Source organism: Homo sapiens, chromosome 4 (assembly GCF_000001405.40).
Source record: "Homo sapiens chromosome 4, GRCh38.p14 Primary Assembly".
Classification (NCBI taxonomy): Eukaryota; Metazoa; Chordata; class Mammalia; order Primates; family Hominidae; genus Homo; species Homo sapiens.
In genome coordinates, this window is record NC_000004.12 from 154,596,452 (window position 1) to 154,618,445 (window position 21,994).

The 21,994-nt window shown below is 37.3% G+C and overlaps 1 protein-coding gene across 2 annotated transcripts, besides 2 other annotated features; it reads right to left on the reverse strand.

Annotated features, from left to right (window-relative positions):
- FGG (fibrinogen gamma chain) lies at positions 7,685-16,205 on the reverse strand. 2 transcript variants are annotated; one of them, NM_000509.6, is made up of 10 exons: positions 16,081-16,205; positions 15,940-15,984; positions 15,567-15,750; positions 15,354-15,447; positions 13,616-13,746; positions 13,179-13,312; positions 12,015-12,199; positions 10,254-10,531; positions 8,446-8,615; positions 7,685-7,903 (listed from the first exon to the last, which is right to left on the reverse strand). In NM_000509.6, the coding sequence occupies exons 1-10, from the start codon at positions 16,156-16,158 to the stop codon at positions 7,889-7,891; spliced, it is 1,314 nt and encodes a 437-aa protein (NP_000500.2). In that variant the 5' UTR covers positions 16,159-16,205; the 3' UTR covers positions 7,685-7,888. The 2 variants fall into 2 exon arrangements, with proteins under 2 accessions (NP_000500.2, NP_068656.2); NM_021870.3 differs by having other exon boundaries at positions 7,720-8,615.
- Positions 16,247-17,419: an enhancer, noted in NCBI's record as "VISTA enhancer hs1706". NCBI's record gives its function as "enhancer in: pancreas[3/8]" and the evidence as "EXISTENCE:transgenic organism evidence [ECO:0001131][PMID:17130149]".
- Positions 20,405-20,554: an enhancer, noted in NCBI's record as "active region_22080". NCBI's record gives its function as "activates an Ori minimal core promoter by ATAC-STARR-seq in GM12878 lymphoblastoid cells {active_cell/tissue: GM12878}" and the evidence as "EXISTENCE:reporter gene assay evidence [ECO:0000049][PMID:35858748]".

Consider the following 21,994-nt stretch of genomic DNA (forward strand, 5'->3'; position numbering starts at 1 on the left):
TTTAATCAAGTTCTCATTAAGTAGTTATGAGAGTGTGTGTGTGTGTGTGTGTGTGGAGAGAGGGAGAGAAAGAGAGGTGAAAGTAGAGTCTTTGAGTTTTTCTTACTGTTTTATCTCTTTTCATGTTTAACTGCAGTATCAATTACATAATTCATTTTTCAAGATTAATTTATCTTACCTATAATGTGCGTGATCTAGATTTACTAATTTTTGGCACTTAACGTATATTAAAACTTAAATGCTAGTTTTGAAAAGTAAAACCATTATACAGATAATCAATTGATGTATTAATATCAACAACATGGATTCATTCTCACATCATATCTATTAAATCCATGGTATTCAGTGCATTGCTGGATGGTCTCACTGTGGTTCTTCTAGTAAAGACTGGCAAACAAAATCTACCGGTTGGTGTTGGTTTAACAGTGACATGTTAAAAATTGGAGAAATATCATCTGCAAGGCATGTGGAATTTCCACAAACAAGGAATTATATGAAAAAAAGGGGTAAGTCAATTACCAAGATCCATATAATTATCTGTGGTATTTATTGGGCCCTATATTAATGGAAGATTTTACATAAAAATTTTACTTAGATAAAATTTGACAAAAAGTTACCAAGAAAAACAGTAGAGAAACCTAAACTGAGGGACATTTTACGAAATTCATGACTGGCACACCAGAACAGACTTCCTTAATTTGTGAAGGTTGTGAAACGACAAAGAAAGACTAAGAAACAGGGAACCAGAGGTGACTAAGGAGATGTGACAACTAAAGGTAATGTGGTATTTGGATGGGATCCTGGACAGAAAAGGGACAGTAGTGTAAAAATTGTTGAAATCTGAATAAAGTGTGAAGGTTACGCAGTAGCAAGGTACCTGAGTTGGTTTCTTAGTTTTGACGAATGTACTATAGTAATGTAAGACACTAACGTTAAAGAAAACTGGGGCAGGGCGCGGTGGCTCACCCCGTAACTGGGGCCAGGTGCAGTGGCTCACGCCTGTTGGGGCCAGGGATGGTGGCTCACACCTGTAATCCCAGCAATTTAGGAGGCCAAGGTGGGCACATCACCTGAGGTCAGGAGTTCAAGGTCAGCTTGGCCAACATGGTGAAACCTTGTCTCTACTAAAAACACAAAACTTAGCCGGGTGTGGTAGCGGGCGCCTGTAATACCAGCTACTCGGGAGGCTGAGGCAGGAAAATCACTTGAGCCTGGGAGGTGGAGGTTGCAGTAAGCCGAGATCATAGCACTGCACTCCAGCCTGGGCAACAGAGTGAGACTCAGAAAGAAAAGAAAGGGAAAGAAGGAAAGGAAAGAAGAGGAGAGGAGAGGAGAGGAGGAGAGGAGGAGAGGAAGAAAGAGAAAGAGAGAAAGAGAGAAAGAAAGAAAGGGAACTAGGTGATAGTCTAGTGAACTCTGCATAGTACCTTTACACATTTTCTGCAAATAAAAACATGATTCCAAAATTAAAGCTTTATTTGAAAGCAAAAGCAAGCAAATATTAAAGTTATAAAATTTTATTTCCAAACTTAACATAATTCAAACCCCACACAGCAATACCAATCTTAAGAGTAAAAAACAAGAGTAAAAAAAAAAATTTTGTTTTATTGTCTCTGAAACAGTTACACATATTATCTCACTTGACCCTTATCACAGCTTTGTGATGTAAGGAGGACAAATTATGAAGGAAAACATTTCCAGTCCAAGGTCTCTTAAATGTTAGGTCATATTGTCTTAATGTCACATTTTAACTATTCGTCCCGAAATATTTCAAAGAAGCCACTTTCATAACAGAGTGGAATCTGCCCTCCTATGTTTATCTAAGTAGAGTCAACATTTAGATTTATTTAGTGAGGATTCTCTACTTGCCTCAGTTCACCTCATGCTTTAAAGTTGCCAGTAGAAGAAAATCTGGGTGAGGATCTGAGAAATAGGAGTGAGGGCCAAGGATACGGATTTTGGATTTGGGAAACACATTTTTGACCCAGCTGTAGACATGATTAAATGTCATGATCCTGAATTTACCACGATTTCTTCCTTCAAATATTTCCCAATGAAATTGAGGTGAGCAAGAGCTTAAAATTGTGCCAGCTACCCTTCCCAGAAAGCTTTCCAGGTTGCTACAGAGCAGTGTTCTATAAGCCATGGTTGAGTCTACCATCAATGCCCAGAATGAGCCAATGGCAACAATACCATTTGGGCCAAAGCTCATGTTTATGATAACCGTTAGTCTATCTTTTAACTAATTTTTTTTTTGAGACAGAGTCTCACTGTGTCGCCCAGGCTGGAGTGCAGTGGCGTGATTTCAGCTCACTGCAACCTCCCAGGTTCAAGCGATTCTCCTGCCTCAGCATCCTGAGTAGCTGGGACAGGCACGTGCCACCATGCCTGGCTAATTCTTGTATTTTTTAATAGAAATGGGGTTTCACCATATTGCCTGGCTAATTTTTGTATATTTTAATAGAAATGGGGTTTCACCATGTTGCCCAGGCTGTTCTTGAGCTCCTGACCTTGTGATCCACCCTCCTTAGCCTCCCAAAGCACTGGGATTACAGACGTGAGCCATCACGCCCGTCCCCTTCTTTTTTTTTAATTTTTTTTTTAATTTTTTTTATTTTGAGGCAGGGTTTGCTGCTGTTGCTTAGGCTGGAGTGCAGTGGTGCAATCACGGCTCACAGCAGCCTTGGCTTCCTGGGCTCAAATGATCTTCCCACTTCAGCCTCCTGAGTAGCCGGCACCACACCATTCCCAGCTAATTTTTGAATTTTTCTGTATAGATGGGGTTTCTCAATGTTGCCCAGAATGATCTGGAACTCCTGGGCTCAAGTGATCCTCCTGCCTTGGCCTCCCAAAGTGCTGGGATCATAAGTGTGAGCCACCATGCCTGGTGTTTTTTTCCTTCTCAAAGCAAAAAATATTAACAGGCTTCCAGTATATAGATCATTAGTGGAGAATAATTACAACTGATGTACACTTTTATGGGGTGAGTTAATTCTGTAACAAACATTTGTTCCAAAATAATTTGTGAAATCTCTCTCCTGAGAATCAATATCATCAAAACTATGTTCTCTGATTATAATGCAATAAATTTAGATAATAATTAAAAATAGACCGTTGAAAAACTCATAAACTTTAGAACCAAAAAGTGTTCACTTCATAACCCTTGGGTTCAAAAGGAAATCAAGGAAAATTATGAAATACTCAGATTGTAGATAGATCTTTTTTTTTTCCTTTTCATTCTGCTTTCAAACCACAAATTCATGTGTGGATAGATCTTAAAAACACAATGCTGAAATAAAAAAGTAGTAAGTATGATGAAGACTTCAGCAGTGATTGTCAAAGGATTTGTGGTGAAGGACTAGTTTTATTAAAATTCTAATCAGCCACAGACCAGGTTTTTATAGAATTCAATAAAAATAATTACTAAAAAAATGAAATGTTAAAAAGCAATGATATTCAAAATATAGGCCCATATTTTTATTATGAGATTTGAAAGATATAAAATTCTATCTCAGTAAGTATATCAGAACAAATATAACATAGGAAAAAGTTTCTCCCTGCTAATTCTCAATTTTTGTACTTAGTGCAGAAAAGTAACAGAAGTTTCGGGACCAGTATTCTAAGTAACACTAACTTATAGCATAATGTCATTTGCATAATTTAAAAATACATACACACACAAAAAAACCATGATTTATAAGAATGCATACAAATAAAGAAACAAATATCAAACCTATTAAGGTGATTGTTTATTAAGGGGAAGATGGAACAAAAAGGAAATGTGAATAAATGAGAATCAATCAATCAACAGAGCAATGAGAATGATGTACTGGGAGTGTGGTAACAACTTCTGTCTCTGCACGCATACACGCACACACACACACACACACACATGCACAAACACAAAGAGATAAATGAAACGTAGTCTTTCCCACACTCTTGGTCTCTTTCACCAACTTATTTATTTATTTATTTTGAGATGGAGTGTCCCTCTGTTGCCCAGGCTGGAGTGTGATCTTGGCTCACTGCAACCTTCGCCTCCTGGGTTCAAGTGATTCTCTTGCCTCAGCCTCCCAAGTAGCTGGGACTACAGGTGTGCACCACCACGCCCGGCTAATTTTTTGGTATTTTTAGTAGAGACGGGGTTTCACCATGTTGGCCAGGATGGTCTCGATCTCTTGACTTCATGATCTGCCCGCCTCGGCCTCCCAAAGCAGCTTATTATTTTCCATCCACTTTGACTCATCTTACTATCTTTAACTTTTTCTCCCTCTTTGAGCTACATCAAAGTGATAAGAAATCAACGGGTACACATATTTCCCACAGGGTTAAATGTGTATTTTGTTTTCACCCTTTTCATCTGAATAAACTGAAGGTATCTATTATAAATACCTTGGCTAGTTTATACTAATTAGAATCAGAGCAAAAGAATTTTGGATCTTGGAAAGATTTCAACTATGCTGTCCATACATTTATTTTTTCATTTCTCGCTCACTTTCAACCCACCCACAGGTATGAAACAGAATCTTCACAGGTATATTTTAAAATCTTGGTATTTGGTCAGGAAGTCATCACCCTCTCTGTTGATTCAAGAACTCTGCTCTGTAGTTGTATGGTTTAAAGTCACAGTATCACTACACCTGATCTCTTCCTTTGTAGATGCTTCCCTCCATAGGTTTGTCACGGTGTAAGACACTACACATCTGCTTTGCACTTCGCCTCACTACTTTTCAGTGACTAGAGTTTTTCTGTGTCCGGGAAAATAAAGAGGAGGGCTTAGCAATAGTCACCTGTGATTTGAGCTGTGAAAAAAATATATAATCTGTCTCTGGGAGACCCCAAACTCTTTTTTTCACTTAAAAGGTTTTTTTGGTTGATTTCTCAACATAACCCTTTCAATTGCCACTTTATTTGAGGAGACATGATGCAACTGAGTCTAGAAGGGTTTTTCATGCTTTAGTTCTTACTGTAGGCTTTCAGTGCTCACCGCTGGATATTAATAACTAAACAAGTAGAATTTTGAAATTCTTTTTTTTGTCTCTGCCTCACTGGGTTGCAAAGTGAACCACAAAATTAATATGTACTCGTTATAACAAGCCAAACAATGCAGAGATATCTAAAGAAAAAGTTAGTAGCCTCTTTCTACCAATGAATGCTGGATTATTCAACATGCAGATCAAGCTTGTACTCAGGATACCTACAAAAATCAGGAGACTCCTAAATGTTTTTGAAAGAATGCTATATTTGATATTTCAGAAGAAGAATTGGACAAGTGATAATGGGAGACATCAGGAATCTTTAGACTTCCTTATATTTATTTTGTGTTTTAGTATTTTTTTGTTTTTGAGACAAGGTCTCACTCACTCTGTTGCCCAGGTTGGAGTGCAGCAGCACAATCACGGCTCACTGCAGGCTCAATTCCCCAGGCTCAAGTGATCCTCCCACCTCAGTTTTCCTGGTAGCTATGACTACGGGTGTGCACCACCATGCCTGGCTAACATTTTTTGGTATTTTTTATGGAGACGGTTTTACCATTTCGCCCAGGCTGGTCTCAAACTCCTGGGCTCAAGTGATCTTCCCACCTTGGCCTCCCAAGTGCTGAGATTACAAGTGTGAGCCATCATGTCCAGCCATGTTTTAGAATTTTCATGTAATTATATATTGTGGATTGGTTGACAGGAGAACGAGTATGTACAAATAAGGATATATGTCAAGATTATATTTTGTTCATGAAGTATATGTATATACAACTTTACATAATTTTTATTTTAGAATTATTCTTACATCTTAAAATTTCACTTATTTTGTAAATATTTCCATATTCATAAAAAGCTATTGTGCTTATATAATCCTTATATTCTATTTTATTTACTAATAAGCTATCTTGCTTGTCCATTCTTCCACTGTTAAATATTTTCTTAATTTCCTACTAATATGAAATTTACATCTATATTTTTATTTCTGTATATAACTATTTTCTTTTTTAAAAATGATTTTCTTGGGATAAATCACTAGAGTGATATTGCATGAAAACTCATGAATATTGTATATCTCTTTGTAGCTATGACCAGATTGCTCACACAAAGGATTTTATAGGTTCACAAAGGGTAAACTGTATGCATTCTGGCTTTAGAAGTGGTTTGGAGGAGGATGAGATGGTAGCAGGAGAGGCTGGATGTAAGAAAGGGAACAGGAAGTGGGTGATTGCCCTTATCCTGGCAAGAGATGTATCTCAACTACAAAGGTGACAATCGGTATACAGGAAAAAAGTGAATATGATAAATATATAGGAGGTGAATTCAGCAGGCTTGATGAGTAATTGGATATAGGGAGGTAGAAATTGGATATGGGGAGGAAGATTGGAGGATGAGTCACTGTTTTTTTTGCATTTGAGGACTGGATGGAGTAGAACAGGTTTGGGAGAGTGGAGAACACTAAGCATACCATGTACTATATCCCCAAATCCAACACAATGGCTACCACAAGGAAGGCATTCAATAAATGTTAATTGAATAAGTGCTTCATGCATACATGTATATATGAAGGCTGCAAACAATGAATCAATGTTTCTATTTTCCAAAGCCTCCCACGTCTTCGGTTGTATATCTAGAAGCTGACTTACTGTTTTTATCTCTTCAATAGGATATCTTAAATTCAGCACTCCTGATAACAAGAAAGTGAAAAGATTAAGAAGGAAATTGTGGGCCTGGCATGGTAGCTCATGCCTGTAATCCCAGCACTTTTGGAGGCCGAGGCAGGAGGATCCCTTGAGGCCAGGCATTTGAGACCAGCCTGGGCAACACAGTGAGACTCTTTCTCTACAAAAATAAAAATTAAAGAAAAATTAGGCAGGTGTGATGGTGCACTCCTGTAGTCACAGCTACTCGGGAGGCTGAGGAAGGAGGATCACTTGAGCCCAGGAGTTCAAGGCTGGCTGCAGTGAGCTACTGTTGTGCCACTGCATTACAGACTGGGTGACAGAGTGAGACCCTATATCCAAAAAAAAAAAGGAAAGGCAAGAAGAAAGAAAGAAGTGTGAAAAGAAAGAGAGTGCAAAGCCAAAGCTCAGGACTTCGGAACAACCAGACCCACCTCATAAAATTAGCCAATTACTTCCCACAGTCAGCCTTTTGCTAAGTTATGTAGATTTAGCTATTCCTTAGAAAGTTGGCGAATGAACCTGAACTCAGGCTGCTAAAAAGTCAATATCCCTGAATCAGAAGGAAGAGATGGTTCCATTCAGCTCACCTCATGACTAGTGAGAGATAGGGCAAATAGCTCCCTAAAGCTCTCTGCTCTGAGTTGCAGTCCTTTCAGAGTGACCAGGTCCCACCACAGGTGTTTGGAGCTAAAAGGTTCTGCTGGGAGACTCCCCAAGCAGCTTTCCTGTCTCCAGCTGCACTTTGGATACTATGCATCTTGGTTGTGTGGCTGTGACTCCTGCTTAGTGATTATGTTCTTGTATAGAGTATTGTCAGTTTGGGTTGCTGTATTTTCCTGTATTTGTCCTGTATCTCCTAGAGGGCAAAAGCCATAATTGCTATTTCCTTTGTAACTCCCAAAGAGTTAGGCATAACATTTAGCATAAAATGAGGACTCAATTACTACTGATGGTTGCCCAATTGTAATTGGTAAATTGGCAAAAAGTGGTGGTTTTTAATGGTCAATAAAGGTACCATGTATCTAGTCTTAGGAAACAAAAGGTTTATTGAAATGCATGTAGATAAATTATCATCAGCATAAAACTGTTATGGAGTTTTCAACATGGGGTCTTTTGCTCTTAAAATGAAGTGAAGCTTTGCAAGTCCATTGTCCAATAGGAAAAATATTATATCTCTCTGTTCAGATAAAGTCCTTTAAAAAAGTAAATCTCTTTTGAAACGGTCTTTTAAACGTCTCCAGCCTGTGAATATATAACAAAACAAAAACCATATTAAAAAGACATAATTTTCTCCATTTAAAAAGAAGAATTAAATAGGAATGATTTAGGGGTAATAAACAAGGAAAATACCTGGGAATTTGAAACTCTAAAATGTTCTCCTATTTTATTAAGTACATACTAAAATATTTGATATAATGAAAATAATTTACGAAGACAAAATAAATGACAAGTGGTCATAAAAATGCAAATAAAGTCAATCATTTTATTATTATATATTTAGGAACAAAGTTGAAATGTTATCTCCTCAAATAAACAATTTTTAAATAACTCTGATATCAGTAATTTGGAAATACAGTCCTAAATGAGTTTTAATTTCCATTGAAGGCTAAATGTCCTTAATAGAAGACTTGAAATCAATAAATATAGTAAGAGAAAAAAGGAAGAAACTTTCAGAGAATTTCTGAAACTTTGTGGGTCAATAGAAGTTAGCAGTTAATTTTCTACAAATCATCCTCAGGGTAAAGTGAGTCATATTCTGTTTCCGCAGGGTGCTCTGGTCTGACCTGTTTGGCTCCCCCCAGGTGGTGTTGCTGTCCTTCTCCAATTGTGAGTCTGTTGAATGGGATTATCTTCATAGTGGTTTTCTTCATGGAATACCACCGGGTTTTCCAAGTGGCCCAAATAATGCCATTATCATAACCATTAGGAGTAGATGCTTTTGAGTAAGTGCCACCTAAAACAAGTCGTAGATGTACATATCATTATTCTGGAATCTTTTTACCTCTGCAAGTCTATGAAGAGCTGTCTATTACGAAGTGCATTGCCAGTTACATAAAATTTATAGTATTATCTGCTAACTGAAAATATCTCCAAAGATTCCTAAAATATCAATTTATAAAATAAACATATTATTAAACAACATCTGTGCTGTGACTCATAGTCACATCCACACTTTAAATTTATTCACTACTAGTAGGGCTAGAAACCCAAAGTTCCCTAATTGGCCTCTGTCCCTAAGCTTATCCATCCCGGACTCAGCTGCTGTGGACCATCTTTCTTCAGGCAGGTTAGAAGAGAAGGAGCCACAAAATTCCTGATGAGGTCAACTCAGGTTATTTGAAAGCACAATTTTGTTGGTTGATTGAGGAGCTTTAGGAAATGGTTCTGGCATGTTATTTTATGTCTCCATTTTAAAGTGCAGCCTCTGTTGATTTGCCTTCTCCTTGTCCTAGGGAAGCAGATCTCATGTAATTCTGTAAAAGGCTTGTCAGAGCACAACACTGGCATGAACTACAGCTCTGGCATGGCGCCCCGGGTCACACAGATCAAGCATTTTCCCTTAGAGTTTCTTCTCATTATGTGGTTTGTGAGTGCAAAGATAAGTTATGTTTCTCCAATTTAAAAATATTGTGAAAATCAAACTGTTACTTTAAATAAACTGTGCAAAGTTTCCTAGTTGGTGATTGGCTAGGACATCAGGAGGTAAGGTTGCTCATCTTGGTAGATGAGGAGACTATGGTTTGCTACAAGCCCGGAGTGGTTTGGAACACTGGTTTCACTCATCTACCCAGCAGATATGGTAGGGAAGTCCTACTGATGCTAAACAGGTCTGGTCTGACTGTTTGGCTTTCCCAGGGTGGTGTTGCTGTCCTTCTCCAACGGAGAGTCTGTTGAGTGGGATTATCTTCATAGTGGTTTTATTCATGGAATACCACTGGGATTTCCAAATAATGCCATTATTGTAACATGGATCCTTTAGCATCGGTAAGGCTTCCCCACACATAACTGCTGGGTAGGTGAGTGAAACCAGTGTTCCAAACCATTCCAAGCTTATAGCAAACTATAGCCTCCTCATCCAACCCCCATCCTAAAATAAGTGTCTACTGTCCTCAGACTGGTCTCTTCTCTCAAGCTTTCACAAACCCCTGCCCTTACCAGTGCTTGCCTTCTCTTTATTCTGTTCCTCCAAACACCTGTTCACTGCGTGTATCTGACACAAAGCTCATGGGAAGCCAGGTTAATGTGTCAACAAGCATCCATGTAGTAATGTTAATCCATCCAGATCATTTATGTTGTATGTCTAAAGGAGATCCCACAACCCACAGTGCCAGCTATGATGGTGATAGTTTCACATATAATGCCAAACTACTGGATATTTTGCAGCAGGTGGATTTCTTTAGAAGGGCTAATTTTAGGCATGAACTTGGTATTATCCACTTCCAGTTTCAAAGAACTTAGTTGAAATAAAGAACATGATAAAATCCCTACTATCTTTATAAATTATTCTTCATTTCTTCATATCTATTTATTATTTTTTATGAAAATAGTATACACTATACATTAACTTGGAATCTAAGAAAGGAAAACATACCTTGGTAATAAACTCCATTGAGATGGCCAGCGTGACACTTGTTCATCCACCAACCAGATCCATCCTGTTCAGCACAGTTGCCTTCAAACTTATCATTGTCATTGTCCCAGGTACTGAACTGCATGCCATTATGGGATGTGAAAAACTTGTCACTAGGATCATCGCCAAAATCAAAGCCATCAAAGGCATCTCCAGCATCCCCACCAGCGAAGTAGGCATATGTTAGGCGGTACTTGTCAGCTTCAGGTCCCACCTTGAACATGGCATAGTCTGCAGTACTGAGAAGAAGGAAATACAACCATCACATGCTGACCCTCCTCAGGGATCTCAGAAGTTCCCTCTTTCGTAGGATGCTTCCTTGGAATTTTTGACTTTGTTTCTTAAGGCTGAAATTTGCTCATTGAGTGAAGTTTTTTGCAAATCTGGCAAGAGGCAATAGATATGTGAACCAGTCCACAGCTCATTAACACTTCCCGGGATGGGCCTAGAAGCCTTTGAAGCATCTCTGAAAACTAATAATTGCACTCACTTGGATGCTTTTTTGCTTGTTTCATTCTAAGATCAAATCCAGATGTGTAGATGACTCTAATTTCATATTTTCTACTTTTATTGAAATGTTATGTGTTGCACACACATTATCATAGATCACAGAAAGTATCTGACAGTGAGTGACCCTTAATTATTGCACAAAACTTGAAGGAGGTACAGTTCCATTAGCCACTCATAGCACCTGAAGGGTTAGGTGCTAAAGGGATTTTCTTCCTCAAATCAGTGTGGTAGTGGCAAGAAGGAGAGCTTCTGAGGGCATTACACAATCAAAGTCTTCCCTGTGTGGTCCAAAGCATGTGAGCTGAAGGAGTTAGAGAGATTCTTTCCTGGAAAAAATTGTGCAAGTGGACAACACTTCTATAGAGTGGGGGAAAGGATGGGCCTTAATGAATGAACAGAAATTTCCAGAAAATATTTAGCTTATTTTCTAATCTCCAGTGGCTGGGAAATGGAAGGTCCTTTCCTAGAAGAAGGTCTACTGACTATAGCACTTTCTGGATTAAAAACCAACCAAGCAATAAAAAAAAGTCCATGTGTTTGAAGACAATATATTTCACTATTCCTTATACATAACAAGAGGGTTGGATATTTTTCTGCATTTTAATTAGGTAACAATGCTTAAAACCTTCAAATATCTCAAGCAAAAAGAAGCCTCTAGATCATCAAAAGAGCTAGCTGGTTTACTTTTAGGGTAGCTCATGATTTGACAGAATAAATGGCCATCAAGGCACTGAGAAGTCTGAAGAGGCTGTATTTGCTTTTCAACCAGGATAGTTGTTAAGAGGACAGGCTCTAAAGTTAAACTACTTGAGTCTGAATTCTACCTCTACCACTTATCAGCAATGTGACTTTGAGCAAGTTAATCTATAAAATGGGATTAATAATAATACCTGCTTCATGAAATAGTAATTTAGACTAGATAAAATTATAATTTTATGCTCAATTCCTGGGACTGATTAAAAGTTCAGTAATTAGCTATTACTCTGAATGGTTCCAGGGTAATTAGATTGTACCAATACACTTAGATTCATCCTGAATAGAATTTACCTTTTTGGATTGCCCAAGAACCAAACAGACTCCTGGAGAAAATGGTGGCTGGATGTGCTGTTTGCATTTGTCAGGCTGCATTTGCCATTGTCTATTGATAGTTGGAAAGTGCACATTCCAGGCAATCTTTACAATAAAAAGTTGGAAGTCATTTCAAAACAGTACCTGGTTCTGCCATTCCAGTCTTCCAGTTCCACTCTTAATGCATATGGGATGGCAGACTGTGTGCTTATCAAATGAATCTTCTCATTTCCCAGCCAAAATTCTGTTGTGCCAGTAGGAGACAGATGTCCAAATCCTTCTTTATATTGAATCCAGTTTTTCTTGAAATCTACACTGCCATCAAGTCTCTAATTACACATTTGCAAGAGCAAAAGGAGAAAATAGACTATCAATGCATGTAAAGAGAATGCTGTCAACATTTTGTCAAAAATACAGAGCACTGGTTCTATCAACTCCCAACTAAGTGATCTTGGCCAAGCTACCTCAGTTTCCTCATGTATCAAATAGGAAAAATGATGGTTACTTCTTAGGGTTGCTGCAAGGATCATGAGAGAGAATATAAGAGAAATACTTAAGAGGGTTTCTGGCACATCATAAATTCTAAATGAGTGGTAATATTAAAAAGACACCTAGACGACTTCAGAACTCTAGCTGGATATTACTGATTCTTACACTTATGATGGAACCCATTGCTCAATCGGTGTCTGGCAACTAATGCTTCCACCATTCATTCCCTCTGAGCGCCCCCTGTAGAAACAGTTATAACAGTGGTGGGAGGTAAACAGAAAGTAAAGGAGCCAAGATTCCTAGTGGGTATCAGCAAGTGGCAGATGCAACACAGGTTCCTTGTCTTGGAGCAGCCCAAGTGTATCCTCTGGTGTGTGAAAGGGTGGTGATGGTGGTGGGGTGGTGGGGGGTGGTGTTGGGCTTCCTCATCTTGTGATGGGAAACCTCAGGTCTTGACCTACCTGACAAAAGAGTTTCCTTCTTTTTATTTGTCACTGTGGTACTATGATTATGTGCCACCATGAATCTACAAAGTCAGTGCCAGTACAATATAGAGTCAAGTCACAAACTCTGAAACTATACTGCCTAGGTTCAAATGCTGACTCTGTTGCTTATTAGTTATGTGGTCTTGGGCAAGTTATTTAACCTTGTGTGCCTCAGTTTCCTTTTCTGTAAATAGGAGTAACAGAAGTACCTTCCTCTTAGGGCTATTGCAAGGATTAAATGAGCTACGGTTCACAAGGTGCTTAGAAAAGTATCTGCCATATGGCAGAAACAATGTAGGAATTTATTAAATACACATGGTGGGGAAAAAATTACCTTCTGAAACACAGTCCATCCATTTCCAGACCCATCGATTTCACAGTAGACTAAGAATTGCTGGTTAGCTTTCAGAGGTTTAATAAAGTAAAGCCCGCTCTGTTTAGCTCCCTTATTGGCAATGTCTTGACAATCTAGAGAAGGAGAATCGACTTTTACTGTGGTTTGAAATGCAGGTAAGACTGTGCCAGCCTTGAAAAATAGCTTTTAACATGTAGTAAACTATTCATTTTCCAAGAATAATTTTCTTACTTTTCACATCAGCATTCCTTTTAAACTGTTTTTTTTAGCTATTCAAGAAAGGTCTAGACAACTGAAATTCTTAGACTTAATGGGTAGCCACTTTCTAAACTATTCCTATACTTTCCAGTACATACTTTCTCCTTTACATTACTTACTTTGATGAACCTAATCCCAATATAACCTTCATCAGTTACCTTTCCCAGTGATATCATGGATTTGCACCGTGTCTTTGCAAGGTTCCTGGCACTGTGCTTCAAGCTGGGCTACCTTCTCTTTCAGGTTAACAATCTTTTGATTATTTGAATTATATATTTCCTGCAAATATCTACAAACAGAAACATAAGATAACAAAAATAAGAAGACAAAAATAAGTATTCCTTTCAGAAGAGTAATTTTATATTTTCTTTGGAAACTGCTAAGTATTTTCTTAAGAAGTGCTTTCTGATAAATTATTCCATTCTTGAGGAAAATGTAAAATTATATTACTAAATTAACATGAATTAAAATTATAAACTTTTTGAAAAAGAAAAACAAATCAAAAAATCAATTAAAACAGGAATACAATGTGGACCTGAATCTTTTTACTTAGAATGGGGCATATTGTCTCAACTCCCAACACAAATAACAAAGTCCTTGTCAATAAGCAAATGTCATTGACATTTTGCTTTTTACTTTATGCATAAGGGACAGCAGATAGCAACCTGCAAGAGTGGCGGGACTGGTTAATAGGAACACCCCCTGATGCTTTAGAAGCAGGAAAAGCTCAGTTCAGTAATTCACATGTGCTGAAGGAGTATACCTTTCACTTGTGGATCTACTGAGGCTATACATATAAGCTTCAATCTAAAATATAACTTACACAGGGACATGATCTGGAACGTTATTGTATGTAAAATAAAACAACAGATACTTCCCCTTTCTTCTTTAATGCTTCTGGTTACATAGCTTTGGGAATGGACTGGGGGAAGTAAAAACCCTCCTTTTGTAGTTACTTACAGGGTGGCTTGCAAATATCCAAAAATGATAGAAAACTGTCTACAATGCATAAACCGTTCTTTCTTTGAAGTAAAAAAGGGTAGACAAACTATTTGTCCACGTTTTCCCTCTACCTTGTCTTAGGCAATTTCTGTACAATAACCTCCTTCAACTTCAATGATGGACAATAATAATGCAAGTAATAATAATAACAATAATAACAAGGGCCCTCTGATAGCAAAAAGAGGAGAAATCTTTCCTGGGCCACTTCTCCCTAGCTACTATTTATCTCAATTTCTCAAGCTGCTTTGAGAAAAATTCAGAAAAAAAAATTGGGGAAAAATATTAAAACTGTATCTGAGACCTTATGTTCAGAAAGTTTATGAGTCCCTGAGAAGCTTTAACAGAGACATTCACTTCCAAATGAAGGGAAGAGACTATGCAGGTTCATTCTGCAATGATCAATATGAGCTTTGCAATATTTGCCACACTTAGTCTCTCAAGACATGTTTCTTCCTGCTCCACATTCAATATAATTTACTTTAGGAGCCAAAATCCTTACTATGCCTCTGCTTGCTAATTTTTTTAACCACCAATTTGTCAGCATTTTTATAAAGAGGATTTTATTTTCAACACCCAAATTCCTATGAGATTGATTTTATGTTGTAAGATAAATGGGGGATGGGGAAAAAATTTTTGATAAATATGGTCAAACTAGCATTTGAAGACATCTAGAACATCTTTCTTCAATGTGATTATTAATAAGCAATTATAACCCAGTATAATTTATATTGCACTAAAAACTTCTATCTCTACTATGCTCAACATAATCAGGCATAATGTCACTGGGATATTATAAATGGGGAAAACACATTAAAAATTACTTTCACTCAAGTATAGAATATTAAATAAAAACTAAATCAGTCTTGCAGAGCAAATTAAAACAAAAATCCTTACCGAATACTTGAGTCATGTGTTAAAATCGATGCTTCATATTTCATAATTTCTTCTAACATTTTCCTGGACTTCAAAGTAGCAGCGTCTATCATATCTGTAATATAGGATCAGAGACATAAAAATCCTTAAGCAAATAGAACAACTAAAACAACAGCAAAAGAACTTCACAGATTATTATTATTATTTTTTGGTCAGTAGTCTTTATTTTCTCACTTGGTTTTGATGATTCATCAGGATTATAAGTGAGTTGGATTGCTTTTATCAGCTGTTTGACTTCTGATGTTTTGTTTTCAACTTGATGTAAGATGTCTTCCAAAGACTGTAGATCCTTGTCTACTTTGGTTTGATAAGTAGACAGGAAATCTGCAATGCCACAGGTAGTTGGACAATAACTACCCTGAAAATATAACAGTGATTAAAAATGTAGACAGATGCTACTCTTAAAATCTATTAAGAAAAATAGGTAAAACCTAGACTATGTTTTTAAAAAGTTACAAGTGCCAGATGATATTTATGAGGGAATTATTTCTATTCCTCTGCCCCTCTCCAGTTCACACACAAAGGGAGAAACATAAAAACTACTTACGAATCTTTCATCTAAGATGCAGCAGTTGTCTCTGGTAGCAACATACTAAAAGAGAAAAAATACAGAAATTTCACTAGTTTATTATCTGTTTTATTTTCCAGCTTTCCATTTTAAACAACGTTTTGTGAAGAGCACACTTACTGCTACACATGTTGAAGAGAGAAATAAAAGAGCATAGAAGTAGAGAATTAAATTCCGGGGGTGCAAGGACCAACTCATGATGTCTGAGTGCCCGGAGCTCCGAGCCTTGTAGTGTCAGCACTGTCACCTCTCAGGCTCCAATTGTCCCTTTATGTAAGCTCCTGGGATAGCCAGGACTGCAAATGGCTGGAGCTGATCACGGGGCCTCCTTACCAGAAGGGTGGGCAGGTCTTTCCCGTTCCTTTTTCCTCATCCTGGCCCCCAACCTATACTGTCAGGTTCCCAGATTTTGCACACAGGTTGAAGCTCCTCCTTTTTGGCCCAGCTCAAGGTTTTTTCTCTGATCCAAAATTATCTGCAAAGGCTAGTGAAGCATTATCCATTGCTGTGAGGAGGAGGGCAGTCCTGGAGGCTGTGTGATGCAACTTCTTCCAGTACATGGCTGAGAGCAAACAGATATGACCTCGAACTAAGCAAACCTAGTCTATCCTTAAGATGGGTCCTGCTGCCATCACCTGAATTACCAAAAGAACTTTCTTAGCTTAGGGATCAGTTAACACTATTATTTTAGCCTAGGGATCAGTTAACATTATTATTTTTAATCTGTGGCTGTGGCAGGAGGAGACTGACTTCCCCCATGTCCCAGTTCACTATTCCCAGGAATGAATGACCCTGGAAATACATTCCTGTCCCTCTGTGTCAACCATGTTCATAGGCTCTCACTTCTCAGGGAGCTTTTGAGCTCAATCTTCCCTTTGTCTGAAGGTGGGCATGGCACCCCATCTGCCACAGAGAAAAGAGCCAGGAGCCCACTTCATTGTTCCTGTGGTTCCATCAAGCTATCTCAGAGAAGAGAAAAATCCACCTCCCTTGTATCTAAGGAGAGTAGAGGCATAGCTGAAGGAAGGGGCAAAATGAGGTGCTGGGGAGGGGCCATCATTTCTGTTTGGCCCTTACAGCATCCTTGTGTTTGGGAAAACATGTCTGTCATCACTGCCTATTGAGATTTATCACTGGGCGTTACACTATTATTAATGTCTCTATTTTTGGTTATCCCTCATTTCTTCCTCTGGAACCAAGCTTATTATAAGTTTTGATGAAATATGTTAGTGGGAGAAATGCCTCCAGTTTGAAAGAAATACTAATACTTTAATTCTGTCTTTACAAAGGTATATTTATTGACTCAAAAACAAAGATAAATATTCATATTCAGTAAATAATCAATAATTATAACAAAGTGAACACATCAAAACCAGATTTGTTGCTTTTCTTCTCCTCCTTAATATATCCCTCTCTGACTTAGCAGTTATTGTCAATCATATCACCATACCACCAGCCAATTAAGTCTCACAATCTTTCTCATCCATCTTTTCCACTCAGCTAATCAGTTGTCAATCAAGTCAGTTGAATTAAACATTTAAGTATTAGTATTCTTTCAAACAGCTCTACCTCAGATAGCATTTGTAGCAACCTTATATTATATGTATACATGCTGTATCCACTGCATTAGATTGTAAACTGATTTCTGTGGCTACGGCATCTAACATATATAGCTGTACTTAACATAGTTGTAGTTAACACTCAATAACTATGTAATGACTTGAATCAGTTGCCTCTGTGAAGAAGAATGGGATGCAGAGGTGGAGGACAGGATTGGAAAAAAAGGCTTTATTTTTCTCTGTAAACTTTCTATATTTAGAATGTTGAATGTATATAAATATTATCTACTAAAATATATATAATGAAAATATGTAATTATTGATCATTCACAAAGATTTACATAGTACACTGATAATTACATCTTGCTAACTTTTTAATATGATTTGAACATGAAAGGTGACTCAGGCATTGCCTTTGCCTTCAAGAAGTGTGTAGCTCAATTGGAGAATGTATAAATAAATAGTTGTTAAGGCTCTGGAGTCCATCTCCCTAGGTTTGAGTCCCATCTTTACAATTTACTGGCTGTGTGATTCAGTACAAGTTACTCAATCTCCTTGAGTTCCATTATCCATGTCAGTAAAAGAGAGATAATACTTATGATATGGTATTTACTTAATAGGGCTATTACTAAGATTTAGTGGGATAATGTGTTGAGCACATTACCCAATTCATGGTAAGTGTTAAGTAAATGTTTGTAAGGTTTATGAATTACCAAATATATTTGGTATAAAATCTATGTAAATAGGAAACTCTTTTAATAGAGCTATTATTGGTAGATTTGGTTCACAGGGAACAAGCTTTGTTGTTCTAGCTACAGAAATTCTCTTTAATAAAAAATCTGTTGCAACTAACTGCAGTCTCCTTCTGTAAGATTCCCCAGAGAAGAAAGCACCTGGTCGTTTAGTTTAGGAAATTCTATCCAAATTGATTTTACCAATCAAAGATCAAATGATAATATAAATGGATTGCATGCCTTGTGAGAAGGTATACTTCCTATCTGTAAGAATGTTCAAGCAAAGTGTGTTTAGACAGAGCATGTCTTTGTGGTTCTTTTTGCTGAAGACCATAAAATATTAGTTTGTTGAATTTAGGGTAACAATTCATGCAGCCACAGGTTGGGTTCTGAGCTCCTTAATGTCATAAAGTTTCATTGGTTGTGTTAAGATATATAATATTCACAAAGTTGATAAACATTTAAATTGAGGACATTAGAAATTCTATCTTATCCCATTTTAGAAGTGGAATACTTGTATTACAGGCTTTTAACTGACTTATATTGGAATCCAGATGTGTTATCACAATTTTAGAGAAAATAATTTCCTTTTACTACAATCTCAAGTCCTAAATCCAAATCATATAAGACAAGATGCTTGCTCTCTGAGAAAAAAAAATGGTCAACAGTGATTTAGCGGTCTACATTGGCCCTGCATTCAATCTAGTATCACTTAGGTTTATTAAATTTTAACTAGTTTTTTCATGTTTGGGCCAATTTTTTCTTTGAAAAATGATAAATGATTGATGAATTCCAGGAATGAAGAATGTTTCTTAAATCACAGTTCTTCTACTTCCAGGTATGTTTTTTGAGATAATAGCATAGGTAGTATTTAAGCCAAAATAATCATTTACTGTAACTCTGAGGTCAGTGGGCTTGTTTATTGAAATAATAATGTCCCAAATTCCCTATCGTCCAACCGTTTGTGTTCTGATTTGAAAACACAAATCTACAGCTAACAGTCTTCGTGTATATTGGTAATTTACTCTGTGAGCCAAGTCTGTTACATTCATCTTTGCTCCAAAATTATTTGCTGAATTTAAATTTGATTATGTAGAAGACTTCTTGACCTAGTGACAAATGATATAGCCCTAAGGAATAATAGAAAGAACTACCAATTTTGAGCATCTTCTTTATGCTAGATATTATGTGGTAGTATAGTTTTTGTTGTCATGTATATTCTCTCATTTAATCCTCACCACAAGCCTAGGAAGTAGATATAATTACCTGTATCTTATAATGAAAAAAGAAAGGCCTAGAGATGTTGTGTAACATATGCAGGGTCAGTGTGCCAGAACAGGAACTCAAACCCATGGGGCCCAATGCCTGTGCTCTTAACCATGAATCTTAATACAACCATGAAGCCCTTCTTAATTTAAAATAATACACAGATACAAGGTGTTATGAGACTCAAAGTTATTCACTGATAGAATGGATTTTAAAGATGTGTGTGTGCATCTACATAACTGTGTGCATGATTATTTGAACACACATTTACATCTATCTACCAACTTATCTATCTTCTTCTCTGGGTTAGAGACAAGATTTTGTGAATGATCTTTTACAGTCTTTGAGTATTTCTCAAACCTAGATTTGTGTTGTTTTATGATTAGCTTGTGTTTATGGTCCTTTTTTTTTTTTCTCTCTCTTTAGAGATGCAGCCTAGCTTTGTTGCTCAGTCTGGCCTCAAACTGAACTGCTGGGCCCAAGTGATCCTCTTGCCTCAGCCTCCTGAGTAGCTCGGACTATGGGCACGTGCCAATGCACCTGGCTTCAGTCCAATTTTAGATGGAAGCAGTTTTTCAATGCTAACTGCATGGTTCAAGTTTAATAGGACTTGATAAATTGAATTCCATCAGTAAGTTAAAGGGAGAGACAGCCACTGCGTGGTCAAGGAAGCTCAAATCAATGGCGACAATGATATATCTGTTTTTCTAACAAGTAAACCATTTCTAGATCTAAGCTAAATTTATAGCCTGAACCCTCAGAACTGGATTTCCTAAAAACTGGCAGAAAGAAAATGACCTATTGGCATACTGAAAGCCAGTCCAACCTAATAGTAAAAATATCCCATTAAGGGCAACAGAGTTGTCTGTTAGAATATTTGCTTTGTGTATAAAAATAGCCCAGGGAAAGTGAAAACGCAAAAGTTTCTTGGTAGTCTGTGAACAATGTGCTTTTAGTTTCACTATGTAAATCAAAGACAAAAACAACATTGGGCACAAGTAAAATGGACTCCCTCACTGGCAGCAGAACAGCACCCACAGGTTGAGTTTTGCACTTCTTAACTTCATAAAGTTTCATTACATGTGTCATTTGGGGGATCTGTCCTAGCGGCAGGGATGTTGAAAAATCTCTGCTGTGATTGGAATTTAGGAAATAAAGTACTGGGTGCCTAGAGAAAGAAGGATTATCCCATTGGCAATTACAGAGGCCAAAGAGGCTGGAAATTAGCCATTTTTAATACTAGTTTGAGACTAAGGAATGATCTGAGGTGCCCTGGATTGAGACAAATTGAACAGAGAAGTTGGATTTAAGTGTTTTGCTGTGCCACATTGGTATCTGCTACTGGTTTGTTTGTGTTTTTCCATCTTTGTGTAATCTACGATTTTAAATCTCTCACCCCATGAAAGAATTTTCATGACTAAATATGATTAGCAGGAGATTTACAAGAGCAAATGAGTTTGGGGGGAAAAATAAACCACCACCAACCAAGGGGCCAAGTTATATTCACAAGAATGTGCTCCGGAAAGAAGAAACTTTTTAAGCCTTTGAGTAGAAATACTGGCCTATGTTGAAAGTGGACAGGCCCCTGTTTGAGAAAAACTGTAGTTATTTTGTCATATAAACTATCTTTGGAGGAATATATATATATTTCTAAAGAAGGAGAGAAAATAAGAAGAACAGAGAATGCTATCAGATCATCAAAGCAATTCAGTCATCTTATCTAGCTTAACGCACACATTTGCTTTAACCTGCAATTTTGAATGAGGACAAACAAAACATTTATAAGATTTAGATCTTTGTTTTAAATTCTAACTACTTGGGTTAGTTTATTGTCTTAGTGTAATTGCACTATAGTCCTTTCAAAGTTAAATCCATATAGGATTTGCTGTGTACAAAGGCTAACTTTCTATTGACATTTTGAAGGACTTTGCTTCATCCATGAAAGGTGACATATCTCTGTCTTCTTCAAGTGTAGATTTCTGTGTATACTTTACCTTGAGTGGTGGAGCAGTGACCTCTACTAAGTAAACAAAGATACGATTTGCAAAACCAGATTAAGTCAAAGACCCAAATATTTATTGAATGTTGTGCAAGAAAGCCTAGAGTGTAAATCACACTCTTGATGGATAACACTATGGCTGCAAGTTACCGAAGAATGGTCTGGCTTCAGGGCTGACCAGAGCAAGCTCATTCACAAAGAAACAAGGTTAGGTCAAAATTTAGAACACTGCATTTTACCTTTTATAAACAGCAGAGAGGAAATTCTGTTGACCAAGATCCAGGAAACCGATTGCTTAATTATGCATCCTTCTGCGTCGGAAAACTACCTGATATTTACATATCAATACTTCCTGTGGATCTCACTATGCTTTATAAGGTTAATTTCCTCATTAGTACTTTATTGATATTTAATACTACATCATCTAATTATGGCTATGGAAGGCCCCATACCCCTCCTCATATTAACCTGATATG

Bases quoted from the DNA above. Each gene is read 5' to 3' on its own strand.
- FGG (NM_021870.3), bottom strand. From the start codon at position 16,158: ATGAGTTGGTCCTTGCACCCCCGGAATTTAATTCTCTACTTCTATGCT. The intron at 15,448-15,566 runs GTGAGAAAATAA...CCTATATTACAG, and splicing joins TGATGAATCATCAAAACCAA to ATATGATAGACGCTGCTACT. The intron at 8,616-10,253 runs GTATGTTTTCCT...GACTTGTTTTAG, and splicing joins CAATGGAGTTTATTACCAAG to GTGGCACTTACTCAAAAGCA.